A 15,741-nucleotide genomic window follows, 5' to 3' on the forward strand; every position below is an offset into this window, starting at 1 on the left:
TCCAGAGCCAACTTTATGCCACTGTCCTTCAACTTCCAAATGTGAGGGTGCCTGTCTTCTTATAGTTCCAAACCCTTCTGATCTCTACTTTCATCATTATTGCATTGCCATTTCAGCCCCTTAATCCTGCATATCTGTATGCATTCCAAGCAAATCCTTCTTTCCCTTTTTTCTTCCCCTCCAGCTCCAAAATATCTTATTCTATGCAAGGAACCACTATCAGTTGATGAACTCAACTGTTTTCTCTTACCTATAGTTTTTTCCTACTGTCAAGATGTTCTTCAGCAGTTGAAATCAGAGCTCTCTTAAGGAAGTGGCCCTCTTGATGCTATCACTAATATAGGGAAATTGGTTGGAGAGATTGACAACCAATGAGAGGGACAAAGAGGGAGGAAAAATATTTTTACCATTGAGAATATTGGAAAGTGGATATGGATGTTCTTCTAGTGACACAGATTATAGCATAATTCATGAGTTATGTATCCTGTTTTATCATTGAAGTTCTTATGAAACTGTAACATGGAAAATACATGTGGGGAGCTTTTGGCAGCTAATTTGGCCCTGAACCCCATTTGGATCATCATGCCTTAGGAAAGTATGCTTGTAATTTGACTTATGAACAAGATTTTGGGATTTAATCTTACTATGAACTGAAGAGTGTGCCCTCAAAATTTATGTACTGAAGCTCAAATCGCTAATCTGATTATATTTGACTACCTTTTGAAAGTAATTAAGATTAAATTAGGTCATAAGGTACTGTGTGCTAATCCAATAGGACTGATATCCTTACATGAAGAGGAACTTTAGTACAAGGAAAGGGCATGTGAGGATGTAGCAGATGTGGCCATCTGCAAGCCAAGGGGAGAGTCCTCACCAGTCACCAAATGGGTTGGCACCTTTATCTTGAACTTCAAAGCCTCCAGAATTGTGAGAAATAAAATTTCTTTTGTTTAAGCTACCTACCCCTTGGTATTTTGTTATGGCAACCTGAATGGACAAAGACAAACTTGTTTGTAAATTCAGAATTAAGTACAATTACCTATTTATGAACAGATTATATCCACAAAACTTGACCATTACCGTTTATAAGCATTTATAAACTAAATGTAGGTAAAACATAGGTTGAGGTGGTATTGAGATAAATATTGTTTTTGTTTAAATATAAATAAATTAATGGATGATAAATCCCATAGTTTCCTAAAGAGAACTTCTTTAGGGATAAGCCTAAACATTGGTTATGAGTCAAAATATCAGTCATCCACTGGATACCTATGTGCTCAACATTCTTTATGATCAATAAACATAGCTTTATTATAAAAGTAACCCCCACCCGGCAACTCACAGTAGGTACTCAATGAATGTTAACTGAATTAAAACAAAACTACCATTATTAGTAGAAGTTTAGACACCAAAATTAATGTCACAAACATCTTTGGCAGATAGAAAGGTATGGACAGGCATATGGGTATCACGCAAACGTATTTGTGGCTACCTAATGCCCTTTAGTATGGTCAAAGATACAGCACTCTCTGCTGCTGGAATGTTTTTCTAATCAAGTTCAGTATTTATAATTTTTTGGAAGGAAATTTGCCACTGCTTTAAGAAATAAAGAAAGAAACAAAGCTTATGATGTACTCCAAAGTTGAGTAAAAAGGGCTTAGGAATTTTACATGGTTCTTGAGTCACCGAATACATCTTTTGGAATTTATTTATTTTATTTTTTTGCTTGCTTCCCCAGTAACTTAAATTCTGATTAATGCAGGCTTTTCTTTGGTACTAGTAGCTCTGTAGTGGTGGGAAAACTGACTAAAACCTATATAATACATGGTAAATAATGGTTTTTATTTTTCAACTTGTGCAGTCATCTTCCTTAAGAATATAGCTACACAAAGCTTAAACAACTACTTATTTATATTGGTTCAGTAAAATAATAAAACCTTCAATTTAGAGGGCAAATGATTAGGTCTCAGTGTCCATTTCAATGATTCCTTCACTCTTTAGCTGACAGTGCAGACCATGATGGTATCGACTATGATAGGGGATGCTGGCTCCTAGAAAGCACGGGTTTCTTCAGGAGGGTGATGGAAAGGCATGTGCTGACAGGGTCAGAGTTCTGTGTGAGAGTCCCGTGGTCTTCAGAACAGCCTTTCTAAGCCACAGTGTACTCATTCAATCAACACGTAGGCCTCTACTATGTGCCAGGCTTTACAAAACAGGTATAACAGTAGCTGAAATGGTAGTAGCTAGCTTTTGTTTACCACTTAGTCATTTAATCCTCACTAAAATCGTATGCAGATGGTACTTTAAAAAGTTGGTATTTTCACAGATAAAGGAACCAAGGCACAGAGCCATTAATTAATTAATTCTCCAATGTCACTCAGGTTTTAATGATGAAGCCATGATTTTACCCCACCAGTTTGATTCCAGAAACTTCACTACTATACTGCTGTTTATAGGATCTTGATTTTCTTTTATTATGTATGCACTTATTTACTGTTCTCATTTATTATTTTTGTATTCATTGTTCTTGGTAGTATTTAAGTGTGTAAGAACCTCATGAGAAAAAGGCATGTGAATATTCTTAGAAAACTACTTAGTTCACTGTGAATGTGTGTTGTTATTATTTATTGTATTTGTTCCATGTGATTAGGCCCCTTGCATTTAATTCTCTTTTTTTTTTAAAAAAAAAAAAAAAAGCTTTGTTTTATGCAGAATTTCTCCCCTTTGATCCATTTGGGAAGTCTTGCTATTTACAGTCACAAACTTTGTATTCTATTTCCTGGTGCTTCAAATAACTTATGTGTCCTAAAATTAGAGACTTCTACCATCTGGTACTGTTTTTTTATGTTATGAAGTATTTTATATATTAAAAATATAACATATGATAATTATAAACCACCATTGTTGCTCTTTTCATGTATGCATTATTATGTGTTTTCATTGCATTCATGAAAAAGGGTAAACAGCATTTTATAAAGGGAAATCCAGAATATTGGTACATGCTTTGTTTTGATAATAATGTTCTCTAGTAGATAAGCAACCATCTATTTTACTGGCTTATCCAATTTTAACAATACCAGTTTGAACTGAAACAATCTGACAAATTATACTGAAAGTTAGAAATCTTAAGCTTATACTTTGAACATCACATTTCTCCTTGCAATTTGCTGTTATTGTTTTAAGTGTGAGGACCACACACTCCTTCCATTTAGTTGGAGAACCTGACTTGTGGTTGCTACTTTCTACTCCCTGACTGCTGCTGCTACCTGCCTAATAATTGTGTTTGGCTCCCTGTAAACCTGCAGTCAGAAAGGTATTTGAATTTTCCCCCTCTAGCACTTGCAAATCCGATTTTTATGTATAACTAAGTGCTCTTAGTTTTTACTCTATCTACTACTGGGGCCTGGTTTCTAGCAGGCCTGTAACTAAGCCAGATCCGGCCTATGTAATGCTGTTTGTAATGAGAAATCTAAACAGGGAATGGCAGTGAGGCATGGCAGGAATGTGTTTCCATTGGAGAAGTCAGTGTAGAGAAAAAGTATAAGCAAAGCCATGTCCAGAAGGCCTTTTCAGCTGGCCAAGACGGAAGACTAATGTTATTGTACATAGGCTGTTACCCTGCCAGCCCTTCCTCACAGATTTGCTTTCTCTCTCTGTCCCTCTTCCCCTGCGACCTCTTCCCCTTTTACCCCTTTCATCTCTTCCTTCTCTTTCGCTTTCTTCTTCTGTCTTCGGACTCTGCTGACTGTTTGCTCAGGTGGACAGTGACACCATTTGGAATGAGCTACACTCGTCCGGTGCTGCACGCATGGCTGTTGGCTGTGTCATCGAGCTGGCTTCCAAAGTGGCCTCAGGAGAGCTGAAGGTGAGGTCCGGGTTGCATTAAGTGTGGGAAATCCAGAGAAGAAACTGAAACAGAGATGTTGTTATGTGGGAATTGCGGGGAGTGTGGCGTGGTAATAAAAGGAAGGGCAGAAGGAAGAGGGTAGAGATGGCCACTAAGGTGTGATAATAACTCATCTGTAGGCAGGGAGCAGCTCATCCTGCTCTCAGGGCCTTCTTCTGCCTGAGAACACTCTGCAGTCAGGGCCCACCGGTGTGCATGTAAGAGCACAGAGATAATAAGCAAAGCTATGGTTCAGGTAAAAAATACCTTTAGTATATACATGTCTGTCATGCCATCCTGAGATTCTCTTTTGAGGCAATTTTAAAAATATGATTACTGAGAAGTGTGTATAAGCTCAGAATACCACCCAGAGAGAGGGAGGCAGAGAAAGGTAAATACCAGACGGGAAGGATTGGGAGGAGGAAGGAAATTGTTGATTAGAAGGGTAATGATCCAGAGTGTGTTTTTCCATGAAAGAACTTAAAAAATGAGCTATGCTTTATTGTTCTTTTCTTTTTATGGTCTCTTCTTTTCTACATCGTATGAAAAGAACAATGTCCAAACCCCAGCGTTTCCCAGTCTAAACAATTTATAAAAGCTAGAGACCTGACAGACGTTGACATTTTATTTGGTATTTTAACAGTGCTATTTAAAGGTACGCCATGTGCGTCTTGAATGCAGTTACCCCAATAAACTTTGTTGGTGCTAACACGGCCTTTTAATGCACTAGTTCACACACTTCATGACGCAATCTGGGTCGTGATTGATTCGGTATTTTTAGCAATTGCGGGGCTTAGGGAAATATATTATGACCAATAACATATGCACTGTGAGTTTTGTGAAACCAAGATAAAATGTAATTAGGATTACTTTTCTTTATGTCTAGTGAATTTTTATTCAATTACATGGGACTCTTCCAGTTGTGATTAAAAATGTGGAGTAGGAATGTGCACTTCACAATGCAACGTTTGTCCAAGAAGTCTTTACTCTTAACTCTTTAAAGAGTCAGAGCCTACGGAAATATAATTTTGATAGGGTGAGCTCTATTTAAAAAGTAGATGTGCCTGTATATATTTGACATAAGTAGTATTAGGACATTGCTCATCTCAGGGGATATATGGGGTCATTAATGTGGTGCTTACTCTTCAGTCTTTACCTTTGAAAATGAGCAAATAAAAAGAGGAAAGGAATCAGCCTGTGGAGAGGTTTTGGCTATCTCCCAGTAGAACTTGAGGAAAAATTCTTCCTATTTGAGTGCTTGTGTTGTACTTGCACCACTGCAATAAATTAACACTTTAAAATAAAATTTGAACATCTTATTTTAAAAAGAATCCAAATGGCAGAAATCAGCCAGGCCACAATATTATAATTTTAAAGATTATGCTGGCACAGCTCTTTGATAACAAAGATAATTATTATGTTAGCTTTCACAATTTCTAATTGTTTTAAGTTTGTGTAAGTTTAAGCAATAATTCAGAAACCTTCTCAAGTAGAATGCCCACGTGTTTCAGTCATCAGAAGCATCATTATTAGCTTCACTGTGTGCAGAATTGCCAAATATATGCACGAAGATAGTTGAATAAAAACATAATTCCATGTTTAGAAGTTATCCATTTAAAATAGCCAGTTCCAAACAATGTGTCAACAACACATAGTATGGGCATGCTGACCACCAGCTGTAGTAACATCAGGTATTTATATTGAGAACAACGATTGGTACAAATTTCTTCCCTTCCTCTGGTTAAGGAATCAGCAGGCATGGTTTAAAAAGAAAAGAAAACAGTAAAAAAAAAAAAAAAAAAAAAAAAAAAAGAAAAGCCAGCCTAAGAATCAAGAAATCTTAGTCCAGGTTCCACCACTTGCATAGTGTGTCATTTGTGGCAAATCTGTAACTTTTCTGGGGCTCAATTTCTGGTTCTGCACAATCATCTAGGTGGAATTGATAATATTGAAGGTCATCCATGGCACTGGCATTTTGAGCTATTTGCAAATGAAAAGTGGATATGAATCTCAATTATAACACTATGGCATCCCAAGCGGTAGATATTCTGAAATTTCAGTTTGCTTTGATGAACATTCCAGATTGTGCAGCTGGGTTATCTTTCTGATTGCCAAGTCCATTGTAAAAGTCCAAGATAGGCAGAATCATAACAGAGGCACTGGTACTATGCTGACAGGTCAAGAGACTGAAGCCCTGGGTTGCTAATAATTTGGGTAAGGCTACAGAGATGCCATGGGGGAAAAGTAGAACTCACAAATGATTTGGAGCCATAGTAAAGAACATGTGTAACTGAGGTAGACAGCCATGTTTGTGGACCGCTATTCAACAACCACAAAAACTACCCAGTGCCTACGTGTCCCAGACTCAAATATGATGGGGCTGATATACCTGCAGGCCAGGAGCATTATTACTCATGGTTTGTGGATTCGATTCATTCAGAACTTGGAAGAAAATAGGGAAGCTTATTCAAGGACACTGGTAAGTAATAAGAAATGTGAAAAGAAAAGACTTGAGCATTTTGTTATTCATTTTTCTGCATCTACATTCAGTTCTCACATATTCTATCCCATTCTCCCAGTAAATCAACATTTAATTAAATAAAATTGGCATGTTACGATACCACATCGTATGAGATTGCACTAATTTTTCTTGGAAAATAGAGTAAAATTAAGAGCTTTATTTGAAATATGATGTGCCTGGATATAGTGTGGAAATAAGAGATGAGAGCTAGCTAGAGGAGGTCTCTGAGATCACAGAGGATGAGGACCTAAAAGATAAGAAATGTGCACAAAAAAAGAAAATGCCAGAAAAAATTGTATGACTTGGAAATTTTGTTTGATGCTGAACTTGACCATGGCTAACCTCCTAACTTTTGATAGGTCCTTTCCTTTCTTCCCCCAGGGGATATTGATGAGCTGAAGGAATTAGAAGAATGAACCAGGCACAGGGGGTGGGTTTCCTGTTAATGCTTAAATAGAACATGTGCAGCAAACTATATCAGCAAATTGGTATATTTTTTGGCACAGCATAGACCTGCTCAGTGGAGCTCAGTGAAAATCATGGGGACTTTCAGACTTTCCAAGTTTTTAAACAATACATTTTTAAAAATACATAAGAAGGAATTCCTCAAATTTACAGGTATTCAAATTGGCTATTTCTCAGATTCTCTTACAAAGGAACAAAAATATTCTGAAATTGTTGGCATGTTTGGTGTATTGGAAATCATAATTGGAAGAATAATTATCTCAAAATGGTTTTATTGTTTTATAGGACATTTTAGAAAGTATGTCAAAGACATAGAAATAGCTCTAAAAGGTGAACATTTTGTAATCATAAATAAAAAAGGATTGATACTTATTGAAGTTTAATATAAAGATTCACTTTGGTGTTCTTTTGACAATGCTACCATGTCTTCATAAAATAGTCAAAGTTGCTTTTAGCTTCTGGACATATTTATCAAAACAAACAAAAACAAAAAAAATCCTAAACACCTGGTTATCTGAGTGATGGATGAATTTGAGCATATACTGAATGAATATGAGTTTGAGTGTGTATTATGATGTCATGTTGCTAATAATAACTGCTACTCATTGAGTGCCTTCTATAGGCAGCCAGTTTATATGTAATTTACTATTATTCTCACAATGTACCCTTGAAGTAAGTACAGGATACTGGCTCAAAGACATTAAGTAACCTTTTAAGATCCTGCAGATAGGTTAATAAATAATAAAATATGTAAATCTGATAATCCTCTGTTTTCTTTCAACCACTCTATCAGGACATTCTTTTACAGATAGCACAAATATACATTTAAAAAAGGGGCTAAAACTATCTATTTTAAGTAAGCAAAATTTTATCTTTTTTATTATTATAAAACATTTGAGACATACAAAAAGACAAGAAGTTACATTCTTACCTAACAAAATATAATAATAAAATAAATACCCACGAACTCCTCATCCAATTTAAGAATTGAACTTTGCTCACAATATTAAAATTCTCTCAGTACTTATCTCATTCCTATATTTTAAAACCAGATAGTCATTAATCTATTATATTTTTTTAAATTATGGCCCTGCGCAGTGGTTCATGCCTGTAATCCCAGCACTTTGGGAGGCTGAGGCGGGTGGATGACTTGAGGTCTGGTGTTCAAGACCAGCCTGGCCAACGTGGCAAAACCCCGTGCTCACTAAAAATACAAAAAATTAGCCAGGTGTGTTGGCAGGCGCCTGTAATCCCAGCTATGTGGGAGGCTGAGACATGAGAATCGCTTGAACCCAGGAGGCAGGGGTTACAGTGAGCCGAGATTGCACTGCTGTACTCCAGCCTGGGTGGCAGAGTAAGACTCCATCTCAGAAAAAAAAAAAAATTCCTTTCGTCTTGTTAATAGCTTTAAACATGCTTTTTGCTTTATAAAAATGGAACCTTATCGAATATATTCTTCTTCAGCATATTTCCCCTAAAAGGTATATTATGAGGATTTATCCATGTGGAGATATATATATATATATATGAATGATTAATTCATTTTCATTGCTATAAAATATTCCCTTTGCACCATAATTTATATTTTTATTCTTCTGCAAGACATTGTTGTTGTTTCCAGGTTTTTGCTTTTTTGAATAATGCTATATGAACACCCTTGAACATGGCTGCTCTTTCACTAGAGTATAACAAAGAGTAAAACAGTCCGCTCCTAGGCTACTTTCACAGTAAATTTCAGGAGGTAATGCCAAGTGGAATTCCAAAGTCATTTTACCACAATGACATCAGCAAAGTGTCAGTCTAAGAGTTCAAAAATTCTTTTCTCCATAAAAACAATGATAAAACAGGCAAAATGTGTCAGGATGAAATTTTTCAAAACTCAGGAAAGTAATCAAAGTCTTCCAACAACTCAGGAAGCATGTTTCAAAAAACAAACCAGCTGAATTTTGGTGAGAACAGAGAGATTTGTGGTGTTTTAACTCATCGTATTTCCATCTTCCCCTTTCTAGGTCCATGGTAGCCTTACCAAATCACAGCCTGCATTCTTAGCATAAACTAGTAACTTGCCAACCTCTGATGGGGAGATAAGGGAGTGGATAATGGAATTGGAACTCCTTCAAAGCCTCAATCCTAGAGAATTGTCATTATTTGACCTGTCCAGTGCTTCCCTGCATAACTTACTTGCAAGGCTTTATTTGGCTTCATGAGGTTTTCACACAGTGTGAAAGCCTTTTTCTTAGAAGTATTTGTTGTGAAAAATTAGTGGCGATCACTCAACTTTATGGCTGCTTGAGGTGGTGGATAACAATGGGGCAAACAGTAGGTTAGCCAAAAGCATCAAAGAAAACCTGAGGAATGTGCATAAGGACTATGAAAAGCCCCATCAGATTCCTAAGAATCTAGAAAGCCACATGTATGATAGGGCTATATGCATACTCAGATTTGTGTTCCTACTCAGGAAAGACCTGAAAAGGCCCTAAGCTCTTATGTCAAACTGATTTTGAGGCTCTGTTCAAACAGGAAGTGAAGGTCCGGGTAGAGTTGTCAGCTGCCTGGCTAAATATTTAAAATGTGCCCTAAGACACACACACACACACACACACACACACACACACACACACACACACACACACACAGAGCCCCTCGGCAAAGGCTGGGGGAGTGCTGGTTTTAAGCATTAAAAGAAATATATTTATCCAATCATTGACTGACCACTAAGCTAACAATGCAAAGACTTCAGTAGCATATAAAACATAGAACACAGATTTTACACAACGATTTCACAAAAGTCACTAAGAAAATGACGATAACAAAAAGGAACAACAACAAATCCTGGAAAGAGGTGAGAATATGACTTCTAGTTTTACCATACTGTTTTGTTTAAAATGTCCAGTTTTCCACAGAAATGTTTGAGACAAGCAAAGAAACAAGAAAGAATGCCCCACACAGAGGAAAAACAAATCAGTCAATAATAACTGTCCCTGAGTTAGCTCAGTTATCAGACTTACTAGACAAAAACTAAGCTAGATATTTTTAATAATTTAAAGAAGTAAGTTAAGCCATGTCTAAAGATTGTATGAGGATGTATGACTCTATAAACAGAATACTAATAAAGACACAGACATTGTTAAAATAAAAGAACCAAGGAAAATTCTGGATTTGAAAAACACGATAACTTAAATGAAAAATTTACTAGAAGGGCTTAGTAGAAATGTGAGCAGGCAGATGAAAATGTCAGCAAACCTGAAGATATCTAGTCTGAAGACCAGGAAGAAAAGAGAATGAAGAAAAATGAACAGAGTTTCAAAGGTCTGTAGGACATGATCAAATGTACCAACATATGCATAATAAGTTTCAGAGAAGAAAAGAGAAAGGGGAAGAAAGAATATTTGAAGAAATTACGGCTGAATATTTCCCAAATTCAATAAAAACATTAATCAACATATTCATGAAGCTCAGTGCTCCAACTAGGATAAACTCAGAGATCCATACCTAGACGCACCATAATGAAACCATTGAAATCCAATGATGAGAAAAAAATCTTAAAAACAGCAAAAGAGAAGCAACTCATCACCTCCAAAAATCCTCAATAAAATCAACAACTTAGGTCTCATCATAAACTATGTAGGCCAGAAGGCAGTGGGATGACATCATCAAAGTGCTGAAAGAAAAAGACCATCACCAAGTATTCTATGTCCAACAAATCTGTCCTTCAAAAATGATGGTGAATTTAATACATGCTCTGTTTTACCCCATTAGTCCATTCACCTATCTCTGAATCAGTACCACATACTACTCATTACTTCAACTTTATAAGAGGTCTTGACTATCTGATAGGAAAAATTTTTTCACTTTCTTATTCTTCCTCACTAGATCTTGACATTTTCTTTGTTCTTAAATGTATAGTTTAAACTCACCGTGTCATTTTGCATGAAACATTCCATGAGAGGTTTTTTTGCATTGAATCTACAGATGAGTTTGACAATAATTAACATTTTTAGATGATTGAGTCTATTTGTTTCTGAGCATATGTTTACATTTATTTATACTTTCTTTGAAGTTTCTTAATCAAGTTTTATAATTTCTTCTTGGGCAAGGGATGGCGGTGCATGCCTGTAATCCCAGCACTTAAGGAGGCTGAAGTGGGTGGATTACTTGAGCTCAGGAGTTTGAGACCTGCCTGGACAATATGGCAAAACCCTGTCTCTACAAAAAATACAAAAATTAGCCAGGTGGGGTGGCATGTACCTGTTGTCCCAGCTACTCAGGATGCTGAGATGGGAGGATTGCTTGAGCCCGGGAAGTCAAAGCTGCAGTGAGCCAAGATCGTGCTGTCTCATTCCAGCCTGGAAGACAGAGCGAGGCCTTGTTTCAAAATAATAATAATAATAATAATAATTTCTCCAAAGACAAAAAATATATATATGTAGGTAATTTGTGTTTTTGAAAAGAATTTTAGTGGCATCTTATTACAATTACATTCTCTGTTCTGATGTACAAAGGGGCTGTTTATTTTTTGCTAATTGTACATCATTATTATTGCAAAACTAGTAACAATTTATAAGTCATTTGGGGTTTCTTTCTGATATCATCTGCAAATAATGACAGTTTTATTTCTTTTTTTCCAATAATTATGCCATTTTAAAATTTGTATTTCCTTATTACATGGGCTAAAATCTCTGATATAATGCTGAAGACAATTGAACATGGTGAGTATTCTTGTGTCTTTCTAGATTATCTGTTTCACCATTAAATATTATGTTTACTACAGGCTATTGTAAATATTTTATATTTTGTGGAAGAAATTACCTTTCATTTCTACTTTTCTAAGAATTTTCTTTCTCCTGTGAGAGAATTTTACATTGTATGAAATGTTTTATAGGTGGCTATTGGTATTATGAAGTGAATTCTATTTAATTTCTTAATGTGATAAGTTATATTAATTAAATATTAAAAATTTTTGTATTCTTGAGATACATCTACCTTGGTTATGATTTATTATCATTGTTATGCATTTCCACATTTGGTTTGCTAATAATATTTTGGTTGGAATTTTTGCATATAAGTTAATTACTGAAATTGGTCTGTAATTCTTATAAAGACCCATCAATCTAGTGCATCAGGGCTTCATAAAGTGAATATGAGACTGTCTCTATATTTCTCTACTTTAGAGTAATAGTTCGGTAAAAATTGGGAAATTTGTTTTCTCAACGTTTGGTAAAACTTTCCTCTAAAGTCACAGAGCCTTGTTATTTAGGAAGATTTGTAACTACTGATTCAAATTCTTTCATTATTATGAAACTATTTGGAATTTGTATTTCTTTTTGAGTCAATTTAGGAGTGTTGTATTTTTTCTTGACATTTACATATTGGAGCCAAATTTTCAAAATTAGTCATATGAATCCGTTCATAATATCCTCTTTTAACACTTCAATGTTTGCAGGAGCTTTAGCAATATATCTTTTTCATTATCATACCGCTTATTTTTCCTCTTTTTCTTGATCAACTCTGTCAGAAGTTTGACAATTCTCTAATTCCTGTAGAGCAAACTTTGGCCTTTGTAGATGTCATATATTTTATGAATTTCTTCTATTTTTATTATTTATTTTATTTGGGGGGAGGTCATATATTTCTTTTAATAATTTCTTAAATTATTTAGCTCATTATTTTACAACCTGTAGTCTTTTCTACTTATTAGAGCTATAAATTTTTCTTTAAGTACTATTTGAGTTACATGCTGTTTTCTATAAAGAATTCTCAAGAGTTTAGTTTTTAAAATGTCTTATTTCCATTATCTCCTTTTTTGAGCCATTAGTGTATTAAATGTGTATTTTTAAATTTCCAAACGTATGAGTGTTTTAGTCACAATTTTTGTTATTGACTCAATTTAAATATAAGACATTCATAAAATTTGATCTGTATCATACTAGTTCCTGGAAGTTTATGAGACCCGCTTTATTGACAAGTGTTCTTGCTATTTGTAAAATGTTCTTTGTGTGCTTAAATAGAATCGGCATCCACATATTATTGAGTGTAATATTTTATATGTCCATTAGCACAAGCTTATTAATTATTTTGTTAAAATAGTCCATATTTGGCTGCAGGATTTTTGCAAGATTCTATAATGGCTATTTAAAAATGTGGTGTTGAAGTTTCCACATATCATGATAGATTTTTTTATCTTTATGGAACTGTTAATTTTTGCTTTAGATATTTAAAAACTCTGTTATTAGGTACAGTAAAATTAAGACTATTATATGCTTATAAATCCTTTATTAATATTTAATAATTATCTTAAGTAAATATTTTTATCCTCAATTATATTTATGATATTAATATAGCAAAAACAGCTTTTTTTCTTTTCTAGTATTTTCCTGGCTTATCATTTACCATTCCTTTACTTTCAGACTTTCTCTTTATTACATACTAGGTCTATCTCCTATAAACAGCATTCCTGGATTTGTTTTCTAATATGACTGTGTATTTTAATTGGGGAGTTCAATTCACTTATATGTGTTATGATTTATAATATACTGAAACATATCTCTATCATCTTATTTTGTTTTTTCTTTTTGTTCCATTATTGGTTTGTCCCCTTACTTTCACCCGCCCCTTGCTTTATTTTTAATTAAATTAGTTTATTTTTTCTCTATGTGACCTCTTTTTTCAGAAAATGCACACTTTTTTTCTATTATTTTAGTAACTACCTTTAAAAATTTAACCTACTTATAACACATCCTAAACTTCACTATCTTTTTTTTCCCACCAACAATACAAGAACTTTATGTTTTCTTTCTATTTTAAAGCAATAGTCATGTCCTAACTTACATGCTTAGGACTTTAGTTGTATTTATAAAAGACTAGTAGCACTGACGAGGTATGATTGTACTGTTTTAACCATCAGTGTTTCTCTATACTTGCTCGCTATTTACCATTTTTCTTATCACCATTTATGATTGTATCTGAAACCTCTGTTCTGGGATTGTTTTCTTTCTTCCAGGACATTTTTTCGGATTTTCCTTACTGACGGTTTCTCAGTTTTTATTTATCTATGATGTCTTTTACCCTCATTCTTGAAAGACAGCTTTGCTAAGTACACAGTTCAAAGTTGATAGTTTCTCTCAGCACTTTAAATATCTTCTGTGCTTTTCTGGCTTCCAATTTTGATGAGGAAAAATCAGCTGATAGTCTGATGATCATTTCTTGTAGATTTTCTATTTTTTTTCTCTTGGATTTCTTTTAATGTCTTCTTTTTGGATTTGTTATACTGTGTCTTGCTTGCCATGTATTTTTAGTGGATTTTACTCAGTCAAGTTGTTTAAAATATATACGTATTAGGAAAATCAAAATTTAATGCAGCCAGTCAGTGATATTTTGTGATATATCCCTTGCAATAGACTGCAAGCAACCTTGCTGATTTCAATAATCAATGATTAATTTATTTAAAAAAAACATGTTTCAAGTACCTATCATATGCCAGAAACTACTTTAAATACTGAAAATACTGTGGTGATCCAGACAGGGAAATTAGGTTTCCTGCTGAAGAGCAATGATAAAGAGATAAACAAATGGACATATGATACAAGTTCATGTGAAAATGTGTTATGGATAAAAGTAAAGGATGAAAGAGAGCTAGAGGAAGGCTGAGCAAGAAGGCTAGCTCTGTTAGCTTATCAGAAAGCTTTACTGATAAGGAGAGATTTGTGCTGAGTGAATTAAGGGAAGCATTATGTAGATATGTGGGGAAAGAATATTCCACACAGGAAAAAAGCAAATACAGAAGCTCTCTCAGGGTGGGGCAAATAAGCAGGTCTTGACATGTTTAAGAAACTTCAAGGCCTGAGCGTCTGAAAGTGAGATGAGGTTAGAGAGATAGTCAAGTGCTACATGATGGGATGCATGTACACGTCCACCCTCACACATACACACAAACACGCTGTGGTTCATACACACGTATGCATACGTAAATAATATTAAAAATGAAGGGTCTATTTCTAATAGGGCATAAGGATAGCAACGGTGGTAAGTGCTGATTGTGAATAAGGAAAGCTGCATTGCATTTCATATACATTTTGCCACACATTTGGCCTTTCTTAAAATGTTATATTGCTGTCTACCCTAAAATGGTTCAACAAGTAAGGTATGCATTGAAATACCTGTGTTGACTCCAATTATGACCAAATCCTAAACTGTGGACAATGGATATTTACCATGCATACTATATACTGCTTCAGTGAATTCCTTAAAACAGCCAAAGAAGACTGCAATTATCTTACCTAATCCAGTTCACATTACAAAAGACTAGAGAACATAGATGTGATTGATGGAAGATTCTTTTCTTTTCTTTTTTATTGAGACATGGTCTCACTCTGTCACCCAGGCTGGTGTGCAGGGGCGTAATCTCTGCTCACTGCAACCTCTGCTTCCCAGGCTTAAGTGATTCTCCAGCCTCAGCCCCCTGAGTAGCTGGGACTACAGGTGCCTGCCATCACGCCTGGCTAATTTTTTGTATTCTTTGAAGAGATGGTGTTTTGCCACGTTGCCCAGGCTGGTCTTGAACTCCTGAGCTCAAAAAGATCTGCCTGCCTCGGCCTCCCGAAGTGCTGGGATTACAGGCATGAGCCCCTGCGCCTGGCCCAGTGGAAGATTCTTAAAAGGAATTTAAGTATTCTGACTATCCTGCTCAGTCCCCTTCCTAAGCTTTGGTCCCACTTAAACTAAATGTGCAAGAGAAGGGGAAGGACAGTAAGGAAATCACTCATGTCCACAAACAGGAGGAGTAGCTTTTCAGTCTTTAACTTGTTGCATGTTGAGCTATAGGAATTTGTAGGTTCACTTTAGACTGTTACCAGAGTGGGGTAGGACGTTC

The 15,741-nt window shown here is 35.3% G+C and overlaps 1 protein-coding gene across 6 annotated transcripts in view; it reads left to right on the forward strand.

The window, feature by feature from the left end:
- HDAC9 (histone deacetylase 9) overlaps positions 1–15,741 on the forward strand; it is a 915,592-nt gene that overhangs the window by 702,763 nt on the left and 197,088 nt on the right. For all 6 annotated transcript variants that reach the window (NM_001321868.2, NM_178425.4, NM_001321877.2 and 3 more), the window contains one exon: positions 3,758–3,865. In NM_001321868.2, the coding sequence (NP_001308797.1) occupies positions 3,758–3,865 (108 nt within the window). The remainder of the gene's footprint in view (positions 1–3,757; positions 3,866–15,741) is intronic.

Source organism: Homo sapiens, chromosome 7 (assembly GCF_000001405.40).
Source record: "Homo sapiens chromosome 7, GRCh38.p14 Primary Assembly".
Lineage (NCBI taxonomy): Eukaryota > Metazoa > Chordata > Mammalia > Primates > Hominidae > Homo > Homo sapiens.